The sequence below is a fragment of the Homo sapiens genome, chromosome 15 (assembly GCF_000001405.40).
Source record: "Homo sapiens chromosome 15, GRCh38.p14 Primary Assembly".
NCBI lineage: Eukaryota > Metazoa > Chordata > Mammalia > Primates > Hominidae > Homo > Homo sapiens.
The window spans coordinates 33,066,500-33,089,106 of record NC_000015.10 but is presented as its reverse complement, the minus strand read 5'-3'; the positions used below and the strand labels follow the sequence as shown (position 1 = coordinate 33,089,106).

Sequence of the window (22,607 nt, the reverse complement as noted above, 5' to 3'; positions counted from 1 at the left end):
TTAAAAATATAACTTAGAAAGCAAAGTAAGAGCTAGCATAGAGAAGTCTATGTAGGAGTTCCCCAAATATGGCTTTATTTATTTATTTATTTGGCTGCCATGTCACTGATGGCCTTCTCTGTGTTTGTTTAGGTATCTCCTCTGAGGGCTTTCCCTGGGACGGCTTCAATGAGCAGACACCTAAAGACCTTCCCAACAGAGATGGAGGCGCGTGGGTTCTGGGCTACAGAGCGGGACCAGCCTGTCCATTTTTGCTTCATGAGGAAAGGGAGAAGTCAAACAGGAGCGAATTGTACTTGGATCTCCATGTAAGTAGAAATCTTGGTGATTGTGCTGTGGTTCTTTGTGGTCAACAGAGGCTCATTTAATATGTATTTAATGTAAATTGTGTATATAAAGCTGCATTTAATGTATGGATCATTGTTTAAAAAAAATCAGTGGGCTGCAGAAAATGAAGATGCATCTTGGTGATCTGAAATTTGTACACTAGAAAGTAACTAGCAACTTGTCTGGAAGTGACTGTGTTTGTCATTTAACCTGAGTGTTCTCAGAGCGCTCTGTTCATTAGCTTTGCAGCCTAGATCTCTCATTGTGGGAGTACCCACTGGTTGCTAGTCACTTCTTAATATCCTTTTACTAAAAATTTGTCAATAACATATGTAAAGCCAACTGATATGCTCTGGATTCTCAAGTGAAATCCGAATACCCTGCCTTCCTTCCATATTCATGAACCTTTCTCTCCAGCTGCTCAAATAACAGGTGACTAGGTTGGCAGAAAATCTGCAGAATATAGGATAATGCATTTAAAAAACATAACCACCTCCCTTCTCTTTTTTAAAGTTTTTGTTCACTTTTAATAACCTCTGCAGTTTTTTTTAAATTTTTTAAATTTTTTTAATTTCAATAGGTTTTTGGCGAACAGGTGGTGTTTGGTTACATGAATAAGTTCTTTAGTGGGGATTACTGAGATTTTGGTGCACCCATCATGTAAGCAGTGTACACTGTACCCAGTGTGTAGTCTTTATCCTTCGCTTCCCCCAACCCTTTCCCTCAAGTCCCCAAAGTCCATTGTATCATTCTGATGCCTTTGCGTCCTCATAGCTTAGCTCCCACTTATGAGTGAGAACATAGAATGTTTGGTTTTCCATTCCTGAGTTACTTTACTTAGAATAATAGTCTCCGATTTTACCCAGTTTGCTGCAAATGGCGTTATTTCATTCCTTTCTATGGCTTAGTATTCCATGGTATATGTATATATGTGTGTGTATGTATATGTATATATGTATATATATGTGTATATGTATATATGTAAATATATACCACATTTTATTTATCCACTCATTGTGATTGATGGGGATTTGGGCTGGTTCTATAGTTTTGCAATTGCAAATTGTGCTAATAAACATGCATGTGCAAGTATCTTTTTCGTATAATGACTTCTTTTCCTCTGGGTAGATACCCAGTAGTTGGATTGCTGCATCAAATGATGGATCTACTTTTAGTTCAGAAAAACATAGCCTTCCCTGTTTTCTTTTTGTTGTTGTTGTTGTTCTGTTTTTTTGAGATGGAGTCTTGCTCTGTTGCTCAGGCTGGAGTGCAGTGGCACGATCTTGGCTCATTGCAACCTCTGCCTCCCGGGTTCAAGCGGTCCTCCCACCTCAGCCTCCTGAGAAGCTGGGCTTACAGGCGTGAGCTACCACACCCAGCTAATTTTTGTATTTTTAGTAGAGATGGGGTTTCACCATGTTGGCCAGGCTGTTCTCGAACTCTTGACCTCAAAAATGTTCCCTGCCTCAGCCTCCCAAAGTGCTGGATTACAGGCGTGAGCCACCACATCCAGCTACCTTCTCCTTTCTTATTCATTCTTGTTTTCATTGACACAGAAGTATTGACTCCTCCTTAGAAAGCACTGGGCTGGGGTTCACCTACTTCCACATTTAGATGGCCTGGTAGGATTGACCAGATTATTGTGATTCTCTGCAATCCCTCTTTACCCATCCAGTTTCCTGTCACAGATGAGGTGAGCACCACAAATCTAAGGAGCACTTTTTCTTTTTTTAGCCATTAACTTTAATGCCTGTTGACAACCTTGTGTTCTCCGGCTCATTACTTTCAGACCTGGAACCATGTTTTTGACGAGTGTGGGTTAAGTCTGTGATGTTCACATGGGTGGCAATCAAAGAGCAGGAGAACCCTGTATTTTTCATAACCATAAAACCATGGTCACTGTATGTCATTTTAGAACAGCATTCAACATTCCAGATATTACAAAAGGAGGTTTAGAAATGAAGCTGAAAGATGAGAAAGCTGCAGTCCTGCAGGAGATGACATGAGAATTAGTAAAGTTTTTGGTTTTGTTCCCATATATAAAGTTGTGCGTCTTTAGAGATGCTTAAAGTAGGAAGTGTAACAGTGACATCTGTTGGTCAATTACTTTAAGTTGCATTTGCCGCAAACAGCAGGCCTACAGTGTAAAAGTGCTGAAGTAGATTTTGAAAAGCTACTTTCTTTTTCTTCTGTGTTTTTAAAAAATACTGTGTTTATGTGTTTTTTAAAATTGGCTAAACTGTGTATTTCTGGTTTTCCTTTTCCTCTGTAAATTAAATGATTACTTAATTTTTTACAATTATAAAAATCCTACACAATCCTTATAGAAAATTTGAAATACATAGTTACAGTGAAAAAAAAACCTCATAATCTTAGCAGCTGAGACGACTGTACAATTTGATAAATTTTTTTTTGTATTTTTTCACTAAGTATGGTTTGTTTTTCAATGAGAGATTTTTTTTAAACATAAAAGCATGCCAGATTTTATAACCTCGTCTTGTTTTTGCTTTTTTTTTTTTTTTTTAATTTGAGATGGAGTCTTGCTCTGTCGCTCAGGCTGGAGCGCAGTGGCATAATCTTGGCTCACTGCAACCTCCGCCTCCTGGGTTTAAGCGATTCTCCTGCCTCAGCCTCCTGAGTAGCTGGGACTACAGGCGCATGCCACCACGCCCAGCTAATTTTTTGTATTTTCAGTAGAAACGGGGTTTCACTGTGTTAGCCAGGATGGTCTGGATCTCCTGGCCTCATGATCCGCCTGCCTCAGCCTCTCAAAGTGCTGGGATTACAGGCGTGAGCCACCGCACCTGGTCTCCTCCTCTCTCTTTCAAACAATTACTCTTAAACTGCTTATCCAGGCTGTTGCAAGCTCGTTACAGATGTGTTTTAAGTGATGAATATTCCATGAAATGATATGCCAAAATTTATTTAATTATTTCTCTGTTATTGGATATTGAAGTTGTTTCCAGTTTTGGAATAGGACCACTATTTAGAAATAAAATAGCGTGACTACAAATACAATTTTTCCTATACCCTTTCCCCCCATTATTTAGGACTATTTCCTTATGATAAAATTCTAGGAGGTGGATTCTTTTCTATAAGTATTTTTAGGTTTTTTGATATTTATCACTAGATGAAAAATGTCTATTTCCTGAACTAGCCTTTTATGGGCTTTATATATTTATATATTACATATATGATATATAAATTATGCATATGTATATATGTATAATTTTAATATATGTATAAATACATGTGATATATATATTTGTATATATAAATACTGTGTAATTAAACAGTATATATTAGTATGTTGCTTAGTTTTTCATTAATCAGAATTATAAAACTAAAATAGTTTTTTTAGATTATTTTCTGAATCAACAGTTTTTATAGTTTGGGCCCTGTGTTTCCTTCCTCACCTCAAGCCCTTCTCCCCTCTTTGGACAGTGTGATTTGACTCCTATATGTTTAAATATTGATATTCTAGGTAAGGTTTCTATCTGAAAGGATTCTACTTATTTAGAACAAATGTGTATCCTATAAAAGACTACAAATTGGGGCAGTGTATACTGCTTGGGTGATGGGTGCAAATCTCATAAATCACCACTAAAGAACTTAACTCATGTAACCAAACAGCACCTGTTTCCCAATAGCTTACAGAAATCAAAAAGTAAAAAAAGAAGAAAAAAATAGCCTGCTGTTAATGACTAGCAGCTCACAAAAACCCCTTTCCTCTGGTGGGCTTTGGACTCTAAGCAATATATTGATCAGCCTGAGACATTGGACCAGCACTGCCGTGCTTCCAGTTTTAAACCTGACTTGCAGCGTCACAATCAGGATGTTAACTTTCTTAAGCCTTTTTCTGTGGCTACACTGACTCTCATTAGTACGTGATGAAAGGTAAAACATCTCATACTTGAAATAATTGGTGGGAGTTGGCATCCGTGAGTCAGGATGGACACTGGTGTTAAGGCTACAGCTGTTACTAAGTCCCCTCATTTAGCTGGGCATTCATCTTTTAGTTACTAAACTATGAGAAGACTCAGGGGTTCCTTGGGGAATGGCAGGAGGTGGGGTTGGTGTAGGACAAGCACTAGGAAGACTCTGGGGGCATCTATTTAACAAACTAAATGAAAACAAACAAACAAACAAAACCTCCTTTACCTTCACAACACTTCTGACATTCTGAGACCCAAGTGTACGTGTTTTTCATAACAAGCAATTCCCCAATTGCCTGTAGACACCAACTAGATGTCCCACAATTCAATTGACACGATCTACTTGGAACTGTAGCCACATCCCACAAGTTAAGGATTCGGTCCCACAAAACTGCCACACCTCAGATGCCAGTCACAAGTAGTGGGTTCCCAGGTTACCCATAACTTCTGTCCAACTTGGATACAAATAGGTTCCTATGACCCCCTCTTCGGGTTCAGTAATTTGCTAGGATAACTTGTACAACCCAAGGAAACAATTTACTGACTATTACTGTTACCAGATAGGGGTCTTGATCCAGACCCCAAGAAAGGGTTCTTGGACCTTACACAAGAGAGAATTTGGGGCAAGTCCATAAAGTAAAAGCAGGTTTACTAAGAAAGTAAAGGAATAAAAGAATAGCTACTCCATAGGCAGAGCACAGTGGTGTGGGCTGCTTGACTGAATATACCTGTAGTTATTTCTTAATTGTATGCTAAATAAGGGGTGAATTATTCATGAGTTTTCCAGGAAAGGGGCAGGGATTTCCTGGAATTGAGGGTCCCTCCCCTTTTTAGACCATATAAGCAAACTTCCCAACATGACCATGGCATTTGCAAACTGTCATGGCACTGTTGGGAGTGTCTTTTAGCATGCTGATGCGTTATAATTAGCATGTAATGAGCCGTGAGGATGACCAGAGGTCACTTTTGTAGCCATCTTGGTTTTGGTGGGTTTTGGCTGGCTTCTTTATGACATCCTGTATCAGCAGGGTCTTTGTGACCTGTATCTTGTGGTAACCTTCTTTTTTATCCTGTGACTAAGAATGCCTAATCTACTAGGAATGCAGCCCAGCAGGTCTCAGCCTTATTTTACCCATCCCCTATTCAAGATGAAGTCGCTGTGGTTCAAACGTCTCTGACATTACCAATTTATTACAAAGGATATTTTTAAAGGATACAAATGAATAGCCAGATCAAGAGATACATAGGGTGAGGTCTGGAAGGGTCCAGAGCACAAGAGCGTCTGTCCCTGTGGAGACAGAACTTCTTTGGGTAGGGTTTTTATGCAGATTTCATTACATTGGTGATTAGCTCAACCTTTAGCCTCTCTACCCTCCTGGAGGTGAGTTGTTGGGACGCAAAATGCCAACCCTAATCACAAGGTTCCCTTGGCAACCAGCCTCCCATCCTCTAAAAGTCACCTCATTAACATAAGTTCAAGTGTAGTTGAAAGGGGCTTGTTCTGAATAACAAAAGATGCCCCTTTCACCAATATTGTTTCTGAGCTGTTTCAGAAGCTGAGGACAAAAAACAAATATTACAACTTCTATATATATTTGAATATATTTGAGTATATCCAAATATTATTACTACTTCTATGGCTCTTATCACTTAAGAAGTTACGAGGGTTTTAGAAGTTCTGTCCAGGACCCAGATGAAGACGAAATATACAGTGTATTTCTCATTATATCAGTATATCACACAACTGGTACTTTGGTGTAGATGCTAGACTGCTGTGTAGGGAAGCTCTGTTTGGGTAATTATCCTGCAAATCCTGGTCAAGCAAATTCTGTAGACTATTATGGGCAAACTACAAAGCTCTGGAAAGACTGAACCCAAAGCTCTGTCAGCTCCACTTTTGGGCCATGAAGTTTCCAAATATTGTATGGGACATGCCTATATTACAAAATTTTTTGGTTTTTTTTAATCTAAAATTCATATTTAACTGGGTATCCTATATTTTATTAACTAACTCTATCACTCCTAGATATTACTTTTGAAACAAGATCCAAATGTGTGAATTGCCCTTGGGTAGCATCTATCAGTCACCCCGGAGCGCCCATTTAGGACATGAATATTAAGAAGTTAGCCTGAAGAGTCAGTTTTTTATGTTCCACTGAACTAGGAGCTACCATTAGCCATGCATCTCAGGTCCTAGGGCACTTTCAACCAGATTTATCAAAGGCAACTGAATATAGTCAGAGACTAGAGAAGCACTGGGGCCTAAATTCTTATAACAAGTGCAGTTTCCTGAAGATACCATTGGAGAGGAATGCTCACCATGGAGAATAGTTTGTAATGTGTCTATAAACAAAGACATGGGTGGGTAGAAAAGACCCTAAAAAGAGGTATGGCCTGAAATTGAAAACAAAGATATGAAAAGCAGGAAACAGGTAAGTAGTCATTAGGATTATATCCTGGTGGCAGTACTCTCTGGAAATAAGATTTTGCATGCCAGCTTTTAAAACACTTTGGGAGGCCGAGGCAGGTGGATCACCTGAGGTCGGGAGTTGGAGACCAGCCTGACCAACATGATGAAACCCCGTCTCTACTGAAAACACAAAAATTAGCCGACCGTGGCGGTGGGCGCCTGTAATCCCAGATGCTCGGGAGGCTGAGGCAGAAGAATCGCTTGAACTGGGAGGCAGAGGTGACAGAGCGAGACTCTGTCTTACACACACACACACACACACACACACACACACACACACATTGTTTTCCAGCCTGGGTGACAAAGCGAGACTCCGTCTTACACACACACACACACACACACACACACACACACCCCTGAACTCTTCTTGTTGATTCTGGTTTCCAAGGCTCATCACAATCCCCTTCTCACCTGTGAGGCCCTGCATACTTTTTACTGAATTAGCTTAATTGTCTGGGGAAGACAAAGCATCCCGTTCCAAGTAATTGTATCTTATGAACCTGGATGTAATTACCAAGGCTCCTCCCAAGCTTGACTGTCTAAACGGTAATAAGAACCTCCATGTCTTACCGATCACTTCCTAAAGGCCAGACCCTGCCCTTAGAGGTGTTAGTATACATACTGTACAAATCAGCAAGGGCACGGGCAGGATTTAAACCCAGATCTGAGTCTAGACTCAAGTACTTAAATGTTAAGTCCTTCTACCGCTCCACTACTTCTGGACTTGTTTTCTTTTGTTTTTAGTTTAAGAACAAAAGACATTCATTTAATGGATGGGGATTAGCTCCTATAATCAGTGAGAAGGATTGGGATCCAGGCTCAGAATTAGACAGCTAGAACTACAACCAGAATTACAACACAGAACTCATCCAGTAAAAATTCTGCAGCTACTAATATGGGACACTAGATTCCTCAGGCATGCACCAGGTATCCTGGGTCTTTCAAATTAATGGTGATTGAGGTGATGGATATCCTAATTACTTTTAATTATTACATATTGTATTCAAGTATCAAAATATCACACGTACCCCAAAATACGTATATCAATTTTTTAACATTTAAAAAATAATGGTGAAATATTGTTGGAAATGTTACAAATGCAGGTTCAACCGTTTGCTGCCTGCCAAACCAGTTAGCAAGGTGGGGGTATGGTAGAAGAGTGACTGTACTGTAAACCAAAGCTAGCCGTGGAGAAAACGGTCCAGGCTCTTGTCTTAATGGAACCACTTCAAGTTTCCAAGCGAAATGCAAGGGTTTAAGAAGCGGAAGTTTTGCCGTGGAGTACCCTCCGTGCAGGGGGTGAGGCAGTGTACATCTGTGTGACTTGTCCGAGTGGCTTGAGTTATTGCCACATCTGGTAAATGGGCCTGCATCATCTCATCATCTTGGGCTCAACTGCAGCCTTGAAGCAAGCTCCGGGTGGGGGAGATTTCCACAGGTCCTTGTATTGTTTCAAGATTTAGTCTCTGGAATTTTTTTTTTTTTTTGAGACGGAGTTTTGCTTTTGTTGCCCAGGCTGGAGTGCAATGGCGCGATCTCAGCTCACCGCAACCTCCGCCTCTTGGGTTCAATCTATTCTCATGCCTCAGCTTCCCGAGTAGCTGGGATTACAGGCATGCGCCACCATGCCCGGCTAATTTTAGTATTACTAGTAGAGACGGGGTTTCACCATGTTGGTCAGGCTGGTCTTGAACTCCCAACCTCAGGTGATCCGCCCACCTCAGCCTCCCAAAGTGCTGGGATTACAGGCACCCGCCATTATGCCCGGCTAATTTTTGTATTTTTGTAGAGATGGAGTTTCACTACATTGGCCAGGCTGGTCTTGAACTCCTGACGTCAGGTGATCCGTCCGCCTTGGCCTCACAAAGTTCTGGGATTACAGGCATTAGCCACTGCACCTGGCCAGTCTCTGGAACTTTTAAGCAGACATATAATTAAATGCACTAGCAGTGTGAGGGGGTGTCTAGTGGTTAACACAAAGAAAAAGAAAAAAAGAATAAAACCTTTAAAATGTAGGCACTCAGTTACGGGAACACCAGCAGATTTCAGTCCTTCCACCTTCCTTCACTCCTAAATAACAAACTCCACAGCGTAAATTAGATTCAACATCAGTAAATGCACAGATTGCTCTCTGTTGTGTCTTTGCTTACATGGAGAGGGCCGCATTTTTGTATTGTTTCCATGGAAGCCAATGAAAGAGTCTACCCCTTAAAGCTACAGGCCATAGGAATGGCTTAACCAAATCATTAGGATATTCGTGACAATGTGACTTGTTCTTGCAAGTGGAGTGAATTTAGAAATATCAGAGTAGCTTGTTTCCTGATGGAGGGTGTTCATTTGTGTATGTTGTGAGTACATGTCAGTGTGTATGTGTAAGAGAAAAAGAATGAGAGACAGATCATGTGTCTGTTGCTTATAAGTGATCAAGAAATTATCCAGATGAAAAGAACAATTCAAAGGGATGAACTGATCAATTTGGAAAAATCATTGTTTTTTACAAATTCCTCATCGCTTTAAGTCATGATAAAGCAGTTGAAAAAAAAAGTAATCTGATTTACTTCCTAATTCACATGCAAGTTAACCAGTTATCTCTCAAATTAGTACAAATCTGGAAATTGATGTGAAGGATGGTTATCATGTTTAAATAGAATTTCTATTTTCTGCTGATCACAAATTCTTAAAGCAGTTCTCACACTTCTCTACAAATTGAAAGATAATGGCAAATCTGCTAACAGCTCAGCTTTCTTTTTTTGAGACGGAGTCTCGCTCTGTCACCGAGGCTGGAGTGCAGTGGCATGATCTCAGCTCACTCCAACCTCTGCCTCCCAGGTTCAAGTGATTCTCCTGCCTCAGCCTCCCAAGTAGCTGGGATTACAGGCAGGTGCCACCATGCCCAGCTGGTTTTTGTATTTTCAGTAGAGACAGGGTTTCACCATGTTGGCCAGGTTGGTGTTGAACTCCTGATCTCAGGTGATCCTCCCTCCCTCAGCCTTCCTGCGTGCTGGGATTATAGGCATGAGCCACTGTGCCCAGCCTCAGCTTTCTTTATAAAATAAAAAGAATAAAAAGCTTGGCTAAATTATTGCATCACCTTAATGCTTAATGGAACTGTGAAATTTGCTTTTCTTTGATCTTGATAACACACATTCTTATTTCTTCGTCTCCTATTCTGATGAGAAATACATAGCTGTTCATATACAATTTGGACTTTTGAGGGTATATACAGAGAAAACTCTGTATTATACTTCCAAAGCCAGAGAGATCACAGAATAGAACTGAATTTTATATAAAATGATGAGGAATTTTTCTAGGAATTGTATATAAGTGAATTGAAATATTGCCACTAAAATACTTTATTTTCTCTAAAATTCACATGATTGTTTTTGGCCCCCTTTGGATGTGTTCCAATTTCTTACCCTCATTTTTCTGTCTCAAAAGCTTAAGGTTCTGTCTGCATTCACTAAACTTAGAGTGCTGTGAGCCTCACATGGTATCTTCCAACCCTGGTCTCTTGCTACGTACGTCATTTATACTCCATGTGTGTCTTTCAAAAAAGCATTTTTTTCCTCTCTCTCTCCAGGATGAAGGTGGGAATTTGTGGTTAAAATTACAACCCATATGAGCTATTTAGAATTTGAAATGCAGTAGCCTTTGCATACTGACTGTTTGTGAACACTCCTATGTTAACATAAAGTTCTGGTTTTTATGGCCCAGTTGTTTTTTTTTTTTTGTTGCCTTTTGGATTTTACAGATTTTAGTTAAGCAATTCCAATTTATTAGTATCATTATTTCTAAATTGCATTAAGGATTGCAGCTACAAGTGTCTCACATAGGAACATCATAAACTTCCTTCTCCAGCTATAGAAAGTATGTGACTTTGATTCTAGGAACTGTTACAGCATTTCTTCAGAATATTTCATGAGGCTTTTTAAAGTATTGAACATGACAGTAGTCCTATATATACTTGTTTTATTTAAATATCCAATTAAAATGATGTACCACATGGAGGCAATAGTGAATACATTTCAAAACCATGGAAAAATGGTTCCTCCCCACCACCTGCACATGCTCCATAATAATGATGGTCACATTTATTTAGCTCCTGTGGGGAATCAAGCAAGCACTTGGTTAAGAATATTAGCACATTTAATTCTTGAACTATTCTATGAGTTAAGTATTATTTTTCCCATTTTACGCGTGGATGCTATCTTAGAGACGTTAAAGAACCTGCCTCAAGTGACAAAAAGCTAGTGTGTGACTAGTAATATCTCATGCTAAACCCCAATATGTCCCTTTTCAAAGACATAGCCTTATTGCCTCTACTTTTTCTCTGCTCTCTGTTTAAGAATTGGTGTTCCTATTTCTCCACATCCTCTCCAGCACCTGTTGTTTCCTAACTTTTTAATGATCGCCATTCTAACTGGTGTGAGATGGTATCTCATTGTGGTTTAGATTTGCATTTTTCTGATGGCCAGTGATGATGAGCATTTTTTCATGTGTCTTTTGGCTGCATAAATATCTTCTTTTGAGAAGTGTCTGTTCATATCCTTTGCCCACTTTTTGATGTTTTTTTTTTTTTTTGTAAATTTGTTTGAGTTCTTTGTAGATTCTGGATATTAGCCCTTTGTCAGATGAGTAGGTTGCAAAAATTTTCTCCCATGCAGCCATAAAAAATGATGAATTCATGGCCTTTGTAGAGACATGGATGAAGCTGGAAACCATCATTCTCAGCAAACTGTTGCAAGGAGAAAAAAACCAAACACTGCATGTTCCCACTCATGGATGGGAATTGAACAGTGAGAACACATGGACATAGGAAGGGGAACATCACACACCGGGGCCTGTTGTGGAGTCAGGGGAAGGGGGAGGGATAGCATTATGAGATATACCTAAGGTAAATGACGAGTTATTGGGTACAGCACACCAACGTGGCACATGTATACATATGTAACAAACCTGCATGTTGTGCACATGTTCCCTAGAACTTAAAGTATAATAAAAAAAATATATATATATATATTAAAAAAAAAAAAAAGGATGGGCCGGGCGCAGTGGCTCACACTTGTAATCCCAGTGCTTTAGGAGGCCAAGGCAGGTGGATCGCTTGAGCCCAGGAGTTTGAAACCAGCCTGAGCAACATAGAGAAACCCTATCTCTAGAAAACAAAACAAAACAAAAATTAGCCAGGCATGGTGGCATGCACGTGTGGTCCCAGCTACTCGGGGCTGAGGCAGGAAGATGGCTTGCGCCCTGGGAGGCAGATGTTGTGGTGAACTGAGATTGCCCCCACTGCACTCCAGCCTAGGCGACAGAGCAAGACTCTGTCTCAAAAAAATTGGATCATAGCTGTGGCAATGCCTGACTTACCTTCTCCTTTGCAATTTTAGTGCATTGACATTTGTTTCAACAGTTTTCTTTTTAAATGTCTGAATTAATCATGTGGGTATTAGGATCAAAGAATCATTGCTGATTCAGGATTCATTTGTGACCTTTCTACCCTCTGTAAACCTCTAATTTCAGTAGCCATTTGGTTCTGAGTAACCAGCAGATCTATTTTGCCTCCCTTCCTATGTTTAGTAGGAAAGAAAACTGTTATAAAATACCGTAGTTTTTTTTATTTATTGTCATGAAAAGAAACATTTAGAATCAGATGGATCCAGTGCAAATGCTGGCTTTATTGCAGAAAGTTTCATTGGACAGTAATAATCTGTCAAATGCAATTAATGACATCTTTCTCATAGAGTTATGGAGAGGGTGAGGCTGCAAGAAAACTTGCATAAAGAACCGAGCATGGTGCCTACTTGGAACAGCATGCATGCTCCTCCCATCCATCTTCATTTTCTTTTGGGTAAATCCCCACCTTCCCTAGATTTTCTTTTGTCCCCTTTAAAAATATTTTGAAATGATACCTGGATCTTTGGAGTTCGAACTAATATTCTCAAGATAACTTTTACTTTAAAAAAATTAAGGAAAAGAAAAAGTTATAGCAGTAGCCATGAAGTGCCTCGCTTTACTGCATGAGAAGAAGGGAATATAGGCAACAGGCATAAGTAGTCTAATAAATTCCAGGTCTTCATCTTTTATCAGGAGCAACTTAGTCACAATGAAATGCTTTCACCATAGACTCCATGCCTTCTGCTGTCATTAGCCATATGGAACAGCAATATTATGCCTTCACTTTGGGAAAGCTCAAAGCTCTTCTGAAACACATCCCAGGAAATTCTGTACTTTAAAGACTGCTACCCACCAACCCTCATCCCCCTGCCCCCCAGCTTCAGAAGTCACAGCCTTTCTCTCCCCTTTTACATTATTTTACTTTGTCATCAATATTAAATCCATTTCTAGAGGACCTTTGACACTGGTTGGTGGAACAACCCAGTCTTAGAAATATTTGAGAGTAGGATTCTAGCCAGTAATGTAATAACTATTTCAAAGTTGATTTTCATGTCTGTAATCTTTTATTTCATTTGTAATGAAGCAGCACTTTTGAAGTCTAATGAATTGACCCCAAACCAAAAATAAATGAATAAATAAAATGGCTGGTGCTCTGCTATGGAGGACCCAGGCTTGCTCATTGTCTCAGAAGAGTCCTTCCCCAAAGAAGGGAAAATGTCAGTGCTAAGGCACCTAGTCTCATTTTCAGCATGCTTTTTCTCATGAGAAAAGGATGGAAGAAACCCCAAATTCATGGATTTTTTTTTTCTCTCAAATAACTGAGTTGGTTTAAAAATCATGTTGGAGCTTGGGAAACAAAATAAAGAACAGGGCAAACTTTGTCACCTTATGCAGTGGCCACTTGAGAAAACTTTATTCTCTTCTCAAGTGACACAGATGGAAGAATCCAATCCAGAAAACACTGGCCCTGCAACACCCAAAGGGATCCCTTGGAAGAATTTTCTTTGGAGCTCAGTTTCCTTGTGGCATGGTTGCGGCTGGGGCATGCGGAGGTGTGTTGTATGTAGTCCTTCTGCCCAAGTGCATATATCAGAGGGAGTTGGGAGAAGAAAACTTCCTGCTTGGGCTGTTAGTTCATCAGTAAATACTTGTTTTATAATGAGAATGCTAAAAACATCTGTTAGATGATGGTTGGTGTCCCTAAGGAAGCTGTTCCTTTCCTGGGAAAACATATCCTACTTACTGCAGGTTATTAATGAGGGCCAAACACATAATAGTGTATGCCGCGTAACAATTCATGAAGTGTAGGTACTGTTCTTACCAGTTTCCAGGTGAGGGAGCTGCAGCACAGGGAGCTTATATATAACTTGCCCCAGGGTAAGTCTCTTGTAGGAGTGGAGCATGGTGTGAGCCCAGGACTCAAGGTCTGTTCTTTTTTTTTTTTTTTTTTTTTTTTTTTGAGATGGAATCTTGCTCAGTTGCCCAGGCTGGAGTGCAGTAGTGCCATCTCGGCTCACTGCAACCTCCACCTCCCAGGTTCAAGCGATTCTCCTGCCTCAGCCTCCCGAGTAGCTGGGACTACAGGCGCACACCACCACCACGCCTGGCTAATTTTTTTGAATTTTTAGTAGAGACGGAGTTCCACCATCTTGACCAGGCTGGTCTTGAACTCTTGGCCTCAAGTGATCCGCCTGCCTCAGCCTCCCAAAGTGCTAGGATTACAGGCGTGAGCCACTGCACCCGGCTGAGGTCCTGTTCTTAACTATGCACACTGCCCGTGTTCCTTGGTCATCACAAGATTACATACCCACTGCTGTCTTCCTTTGTTCAAGCTTCACAAGATGTCCCAGCCTTTCTCCTTTCCTTTTAGATTCTTCTAGTTTGTTATCTATATTCAATCCATTTCTACAGAAGCTTTGATACTGCCCAGTGGAACCAGTCTTATAAATATTTTACTCTTAAGACTTTTCAACAGAGAAAAAAGCCCTTAATCACAGTCCTTGCAAGAGGCAGGTGCTGCCTGTTTTCTTTTTAACCAATTAGTGAAAACAGCTGCAGGCTTTTGATGGGATGACCCAGAGAGGCTGTTGTAAGCGTTGCATTGGCAGAGGAACGCCACAGCATGAAGGCAGGGAAAGTGCTACAAAACTAGATGTGTAAGGGTATCTCTGGCTTTTTCTTTTGTTTGGCTTTATATTCCTGTGAATTAGGTAGAAGCAAGGTGTTGTCTCCATTTCAAAGATGTGGAAAATGAGTATAACGAAGATGCTGATCAGGAAGAAGGTAAGATCCCACAGCATAGCAGCAGGGTGATGTGATGTGGGTGAACAGGAGATGGGATGCCTTTTTCCCCATCTGGGTGCTGCACTTGAGCAGTATGAACTGGTGCCAGTTGTTCCGCTTCCCTTGACCTCAAATGCCTTCATCTTTAAAACAAAAGGTCAAGCCAGGCCGGAGGCAGTGGCTCATGCCTGTAGCCCCAGTACACTGGGGGGCCGAGGTGGGCAGATTACTTGAAGCCAGGAGTTTGAGACCAGCCTGGGTAACATGGTGAAACCCCGTCTCTAGAAAAAATACAAAAATTAGTCGGTCGTGGTGACACGCAACTATAATCCCAGGTGCTCAGGAGGCTGAGGTGGGAGAATCATTTGAGCAAGGGGAGGTGAAGGCTGCCTGAGCAGTGATTGTGCCACTGTACTTCAGCCTGGGTAACGCAGTGAGACCCTGTCTCAAAAAAAAAAAAAAAACAAGCTAGGTAAATTTCTACTATTTCTAAGGTCCCATTCAACCTTACAACAACTGGATTCTACCCAAATTATTCCATAATCTTGTACTCCTTTTATATGACCCCTCATTTTACAGACATTTTTTTGACTCCTTATGATGTTATAATTTCCTCAGCTCTCCCCTCTTGTTCAAGATGCCGTTTGTTGAATTAAAACACGCTTCCTGAACCAAGAAACCAGGATTTCACCCATTAACCTACCCATATCTTTATTCAGAACTTACTTATTTTTCCCAGTACATTGCTCTTAACTTTTTTTCACCTGCAGAAATAGTTTCCTCACTCTTATTTACCCTTACTAAGTTTAACTACACTTTCTACTTTTTGTTTCAAACGGTTTTCGCATGAAGCTATTTGAACTACTTTGGGAAGCTAGAAGCAATTTGTCATTAAAATCAGGCCCAGAACTTGAAATAAGTTGGACAAGGAGAATCATGACAAGTAGCCTAACAGTGAGATGCGATCCTGTTTGCTTTACTTTCACGTTGCCTTTCTGAAGTCTGATGAGAATGTGGGGGTGAATTATCCAAACTGAGTAATAGCGAGAAGTGCTACAAAGAGTAAGGGGGCCCTTAGAGAAGTTTCTTTCAGTGTCCAGTTTTCGCAAAACGATATTTAAAAATTTTTATTGCTGATCTCCTAATATTAGGAAAGTCAAGGAGCTAGGCTCTACTGCCTATAGGAGATAATGTGCCTTTTATTGCAATTGTTCTTATCTCACTAGGTATACACTTACTAGACTGATGTTCTGTTTTTGTTTTTTTTTTTTTTTGAGATGGAGTCTTGTTCTGTTGCCCAGGCTGGAGTGCAGGGGGTGCATCTCGGCTCACTGCAGCCTCCACCTCATGGGTTCAAGTGATTCTCCTCCCTCAGCCTCCCAAGTAGATGGGATTACAGGTGCCCACCACCATGCCTGGCTAATTTTTATATTTTTAGTAGAGACAGGATTTCGCCATGTTGGCCAGGCTAGTCTTGAACTCCTGACCTCAGGTAATCCACCTGCCTTGGCTTCCCAAAGTGCTGGGATTACAGGCGTGAGCTACTGTGCCCAGCCTAGACTGATGTTCTTTTTGCCATGGGGTACAATTGGCTCCACCTTCAATCTGTGTACAGCTGAGAGGACAGTGAGATGGGAGAAATGAAGAATTCACTGCTAGTAAATTCTCCACAAATACTATGCTCACATTTTTAAGTAGCTAGGTACTGATTGTTTTTAACAGAGTTATAACAGAATATCACGTAGGTCAAATGCTACCTATTTCTCATGTATCCTTTGACTTAGAGTTGTCCCTCCATCTACTTGGAAGATTGATCACCCATATACCCAAATCCTCTCATACCCAAGTCCCACAGGAGGCTCTGGGAATCCACTTACAGGAAAAGTTGAAAAGTCAACCCTTCATATGTGCAGGTTTCACATCTCATGAAGACTGCATTTTCCATCTTCTTTTGGTTGAAAACATATTGTATAGGTGAACCCATACAGTTCAAACGTGGGTTGTCTGAGGTGGATCATTTTTAATCTGGCACAGATTATTTTTTGTAGATTTTTCCCCAAGTTACTCAAAAGAAAAGAATGGTCATCCTCAGTATAAGGTTGTTTTTTTGTTTGTTTGTTTGTTTTGGTGAAGATCATTTTTGCACAGATGTGGCAGTTAGAGAGTTTGTCTTGAGGTTAAGACAAGACAAAAGAGAATCAGTTGAGGTAGGTTGTAAAGGATGAAAGCCTTCGCTTCTGCTGGTTTTGTGTAATAGGTGCTTATTTCAGCACATAGATACTGAGATAATGTCCAAGAGAAGTGATTACTATCCTCCCTGAAAATGTTAAAGCTTTAAAGAGATTCATTTTTCAAGACCAATTTAGATTGAATTTGTAGGTTGCTTATTTGAATATTACAATCTGAAACACTCTCATTCCCTGAGTGACCAGCAGTGGTAACATTTTTTATGGTCATGAGAACCAGTGGCTTGAAAGAGTCCGTGTTAAAAGATCTCTTTGAATCTTACTCGTGCTCCTGTTACTCGTGTTCATATTTAAATGGTCACTGCTGGCTTTCATTCAAAATTGTTTCAGGTCTAGCTATTACTATTAGACTGAACCTGGGGGATAAAGTCCTTGGTTACAGTCTGTAAACAAGAGTCTCCTCTTTCTAAATAGAGATCTCCAACTAAACTACACATTTCATGGAGGTGGAAGGCAGGGCTATCTTCATTCTTATGTCCTCACAGCCTCATTCATTGTTGGTGCTCATTTATGACATTGGATGAAGAAGTCTTCTTAATAGAAGTCATGCTTCATAAATGAAGGAGAATGGTAGGGGCAAACTGGAAAACCTTGATGTGTTTGAGCCCAGAGGATTCCGTGTCTCTTCTGTGTTAGATAGATAGGCCAGCTAGGTTTACTGGAATTTTTGCTTGATTTTTCTTTCCTCTCTCTCCATTTTTTCCTAAGAAAACTTGTAGATTTTTCCCCAAGTTATGCAAAAGAAAAGAACAGTCATCCTCAGTATAAGGTTGTTGTTTTTTGTTTGTTTGTTTGTTTTTGGTGATGTTTGTCTTCTGTGTCATTTAAGAGGATAAAGTATACTTCACATCCCAGTTAAAGACCACCAATGAACTGGGCTGAAACCTTTGCACCTCGCTGTGTGTGGTCTTCTATTCGGGAAGGAAGTGGAGCCTCTGGGCTTTCGAAGAGTGGTTGAGAGTGTGGATGCTGGAGCCTGCCTGCATGGATTCACATTATACTTCCACCATCCACTGTTTCTGTGGACTGGCAAGACTTTTAATCTTCTGTGCCTCGGTTCTCTAGCAGGAAAAAGAGAATAATAATAATAACAACTCATAATATGGTTGTTATCTGTATTAAGTGAGTTAATATGTGTGGAGCACCTAAAATTGTGCTTGGCACATGGTCAACCCTCAAATCTTAGATGATGTTATTCCCCACTTACTAGCTGTGTTAAGTTTGGCAAGTTACCTTCTCTCAGCTATGGTTGCTTACCTTTAAAAATGGGCCTAATAATACCTTACTTACCTAGAGCCAAGGGGATGAAATCAGATAATCTCCTGGGACCAAAGACTTGACCCACTTCCCATGAAATTGTGTTGGCATCTATGAGTATTGAGGGGATACTGAAACCTTATAATTCTGCTCCATGCCATGGTGCAGAAGGGCCAGTAGCCCCTTCCAGCATCTGTTCCATTTTGCCCAAATCTATAGAGGGGCCTGGAAGCTTATTCCAGAAATCAATAATTAGTTATGTCTGAGAAATTGAGTCTTTTCAGTTCATAAAAAAAAAAAAAAAAAAGACCAAATACGTGCCCTCTCCCACTGCCCCCTGCCATATTAGAATTGGATGATCTGCATTGCTCGTAAGAAGACTGATCTTAGGCCGGGCGCGGTGGCTCATGCCTGTAATCCTAGCACTTTGGGAGGCCGAGGCGGGCGGATCACCTGAGGCCACGAGTTCGAGACCAGCCTGACCAACATGGAGAAACCTTGTCTCTACTAAAAATACAAAATTAGCCGGGTGTGCTAGCGCATTCCTGTAATTCCAGCTACTCAGGAGGCCGAGGCAGAAGAATCACTTGAACCCGGGAGGCGGGGGTTGTGGTGAGCGGAGATTGCACCATTCCACTCCAGCCTGGGCAAGAAGAGCGAAACTCGGTCTCAAAAAAAAAAAAAAAAAAAAAAAAAAAAAGAGAAAGACTGATCTTATGATCTGTTGTGATCATTTCTTCTTTCTACAATCTTGAAGAAGCAGATGTCTGATTTTAATCAATGGGTATTTCCTCTAGACAAGAATCTTGTTCTTAGACTTAAAAGACACCATTGAATTTTTCTGCAGTGTCCTGGTGGCTTTTTGATTAAGTGCCTCAGTTAATAATTCCCAAAAATACTATGATCAGGAGCAAACAGAGAAGTACCTGTTTAAAACACAAGATCAAATCAAGATTTAGAAAGTGTTTTACTTACCCTTAGTGGTTGATGGGATGCAATGATGCGTTTTTATTTGTGTGAGCGTTCCTTTTGAATACATTGCTAGAAATGTATTTTTGCAATCAGAATTTCTCAGTATTGATGCTTAGATTGTTTTTAGTACTGAAGAACATGGCTCAAGTTATCAATGTGTGACATGCAGCCACCCACTCCTGCAGATAAAGCAAGACTGTCATTTTCCTTATGGCTACCATTTCCATTTTGCAGAAGGAATTACTGTTTGTGTTTAACACTTGACCACAATCTTCTTGGACCTTTGCTCAAACAGAGATGGCAATTACTGTTCAGCCAGTTTGACTTGCCTCTCCAACCAGAACAGTGTCCTGTCCATCCCAGGCACTCACTGCATGCCTGCTTAGTGGGACTGGATTTGGAAAACACTTGAGGCCTTCAGGTAGATAGGGAGCTGTCCCAAGAGGCAGCTATGCAGCTAGGAAACAGGGCTGCAATTTTTACCCCCATCCTTTGTTGCCAGTTTCCCAGCATATAAATAGAGTGGTAGAAACTACACTGGGCTGATGTTTGGAGGTTGTTTTGTCTGTCCTGTTTTTGTTGAGGCAAATTGGGTCTGTGATAGAGATCTGACTGATAGAGACTTTTCAGATGTTTTGCCCTTTAGGAGAACGTGGATCCTTGGGGATCTTCAAATTGTTTTGTCTAATAGGGCAGGTTGTGTGTTACACTGTGTCATGCCAGGTTTCATTTAGTTGGCTGGGACACCAAAGGGGGAGAGGCGTGTCCTGCTGCTGCCAGGATTTCTAAGGCAGCCAGGAAGTCACAGCTGCTGAGCAGAAAGAAGCCTGCGGTTGGCACAGGGAGTGTAGAGGGTAATCATTCCTGCGGAGCCTGGGCTGTTTACTCTGCCACCCTGTTGCTGGTGGACACTGGGTGTGGTGGGTGTGCTTGCCTAATACCTGTTTGTAGAGCACTGAGACAGCTAGGGCAGAGCTAAAACAGCAGTCATCTGAAACCAGTCGTGTGGGTTATCCCTCACGGGCTTTAGGAGCTAAAATCTGCATTCCAGATGAAACCTGCAGGGAAGCGGAAGAAAGCACTTAAAAAAAGCTTCAAGGGCAGTAAATTAACTGCTTTGAGAGTTCTAGGCACTTTTGAGATGATCTATTGCTTTCTTTAATTTGTTTCCTTGATTGCGGCTTCGTAAGTGGCTGCTGATCTGGGTGTACTGCTAGTTTTTTGGCCTGGATGCCCCAGGCCTCTCTGATCATAATCCAGATGAAAAAGAAGGCCTGTGTCAGAAGTATTTCAGTTGTTTTCTGCTGATTTACTTCTGATTCCCTTAGGCTGCTCTGGGCAGTGGCTAAGTGCCCTCAGTATCAGCTTGCCGGCTCAGCACTTTCAGAAGCCTTCACTTGCTCACCAATGAGGAAGTTGAATGCCACCAGGAGAACCGCCGGCCTGGGGCGGAGCTCCTCGTGAAGTCCTGGGTTGGGATTACAGGGCAGGCTGACTTTCCCTATGACAAAAAGGCTTTTGTCCCCGGGAATAAATACGGAAGTTTCAGAAGAGCAGCCTCCCTGGTCCGTGTGTAGTAAGGTGCGCAGCCTCGGCTGCTTCTGGGCATAGACTCCACAGATTTTTCACAGTTGCCCTGGAACACATCATCGCACAAACCGGAAGGAGGGCACTGTGACCCGAAAGAGACCAAGTGTGTTTGCTGTGCGGCTGACAGCCTGACTCCCGGGTCCTGTTGCTCTCTGTCCTGTAAATTAAGAGCAGATGGAGTGGATAAACTGAGAGCGCAGGAGAAGGTAACACAAGTCAGAACTTCCACCAAGGGCATTACTGAGACATGGAGAACGTTGATAATTCTCTGGATGGCAGTGATGTGTCAGAACCAGCAAAACCAGAAGCCGGACTTGAAGTGGCTCAGTCGATCCTGAGTAAGTTCTCTATGAAATCCCTATTTGGGTTTACGAGTAAATTAGAATCTGTGAATCCAGAAGAGGAAGATGCTGTGCTGAAAGCATTCCATAGTTTAGACGTGAATCCCACATCTCAGCAGGATGATTCCAGCAATGGCTTGGATCCACAGGAAGCAGGGTCTCGGGTTTCACCTGACCTCGGAAATGATGAGAAAATTGCAAGCGTGGAGACAGAATCAGAGGGAAGTCAGAGAAAAGAAGCAGGGACATCTCTCCTTGCTCAAGAGCTGCTTCCACTGTCTACTTTGAAAGGGACAAAAGACGATGTCATTTGTGTTCGTGGGACCCTGGTGCACACCACCAGTGATTCTGACTCTGATGATGGTGGCCAGGAGCCAGAGGAGGGAAGCAGCACCAATGGCCCAAAGTCCCCTAGTGGTGTTTTATCTGAGCCATCTCAGGAGTCCAAAGAAAACCCAGGAGGTTTCAGGGAAAATACTGTCACTGGGGAAATGAATGGTGCAGAGCTCTGTGCAGAAGATCCTCAAAGGATTCCACCTGAGATGAGCAGCAAACTGGAAGCTGGCAACGGTGGTCTTCAGACAGAGCGTCGCCCCAGCCAGGACCAGGTGGGAGAAGAAGGGTCCCAAGACCTACCTGCAGTAACAAACCAGAATTCGAGTGTTGGTATCACTGAGAGTGCCTCTTCTAAAAAAGAAGTCTCTGGAGAGAAGTCATTCCAACTTCCAGCTTTTTTCAGTGGGCTTCGTGTGCTGAAGAAGGGGGCTACCGCTGAGGGAGGAGAGACCATCACGGAAATTAAACCAAAGGATGGGGACTTAGCTTTGCTCAAATTGACGCAGCCTGTGCAGAAGTCCTTAGTGCAGGCAGGGCTGCAGACAGTGAAGAGTGAGAAGAAAGCAACTGATCCGAAGGCCACTCCCACTCTCCTGGAGCAGCTCTCTCTGCTGCTCAACATTGACATGCCCAAAACTGAACCGAAGGGAGCAGACCCTGAGTCGCCCAGGAGAGAAGAGATGGGCTGCAATGCTGACCAAGAGAGCCAGAGCGGCCCTGGAGTACCACAAACCCAGGGTGGTGAGGTCAAGCCAAAGTCGCCAGAGACAGCCCTGGAGGCTTTTAAAGCCCTATTCATCCGGCCCCCCAGAAAGGGGACCACAGCTGACACCTCTGAGCTGGAAGCTCTCAAGCGCAAGATGAGACATGAGAAGGAGTCGCTAAGAGCTGTGTTTGAACGGTCCAATTCTAAGCCAGCGGATGGCCCCTCTGATTCCAAAAGTGTATGTAGAAT

General features: G+C 41.7%; 1 protein-coding gene and 1 long non-coding RNA gene across 16 annotated transcripts in view, besides 1 other annotated feature; one reads left to right on the top strand and one right to left on the bottom strand.

Annotated features, from left to right (window-relative positions):
* FMN1 (formin 1) overlaps nt 1-22,607 on the top strand; it is a 429,171-nt gene that overhangs the window by 105,608 nt on the left and 300,956 nt on the right. For 9 of the 15 annotated variants that reach the window (XM_011521509.4, NM_001277313.2, XM_011521504.4 and 6 more), the window contains one exon: nt 133-308. The exons of 3 other annotated variants lie outside the window; for them this stretch is intronic. In XM_011521509.4, coding sequence (XP_011519811.1) covers nt 133-308 — 176 coding nt within the window. Of the gene's footprint in view, nt 1-132; nt 309-20,932; nt 22,597-22,607 lie in introns of those variants that run through there. 3 more of the 15 variants (NM_001103184.4, XM_047432438.1, XM_047432439.1) reach the window with 1 other exon arrangement.
* LOC124903459 (uncharacterized) lies at nt 12,388-22,209 on the bottom strand. The gene is made up of 2 exons (XR_007064574.1): nt 19,389-22,209; nt 12,388-18,217 (listed from the first exon to the last, which is right to left on the bottom strand). It is a non-coding gene; the product is annotated as an uncharacterized LOC124903459 (long non-coding RNA).
* Nucleotides 21,217-22,040: an enhancer, noted in NCBI's record as "H3K27ac-H3K4me1 hESC enhancer chr15:33359268-33360091 (GRCh37/hg19 assembly coordinates)". NCBI's record gives its function as "activates a minimal SCP1, AML or CMV promoter by ChIP-STARR-seq in naive H9 embryonic stem cells {active_cell/tissue: H9 hESC(naive)}" and the evidence as "EXISTENCE:reporter gene assay evidence [ECO:0000049][PMID:30033119]".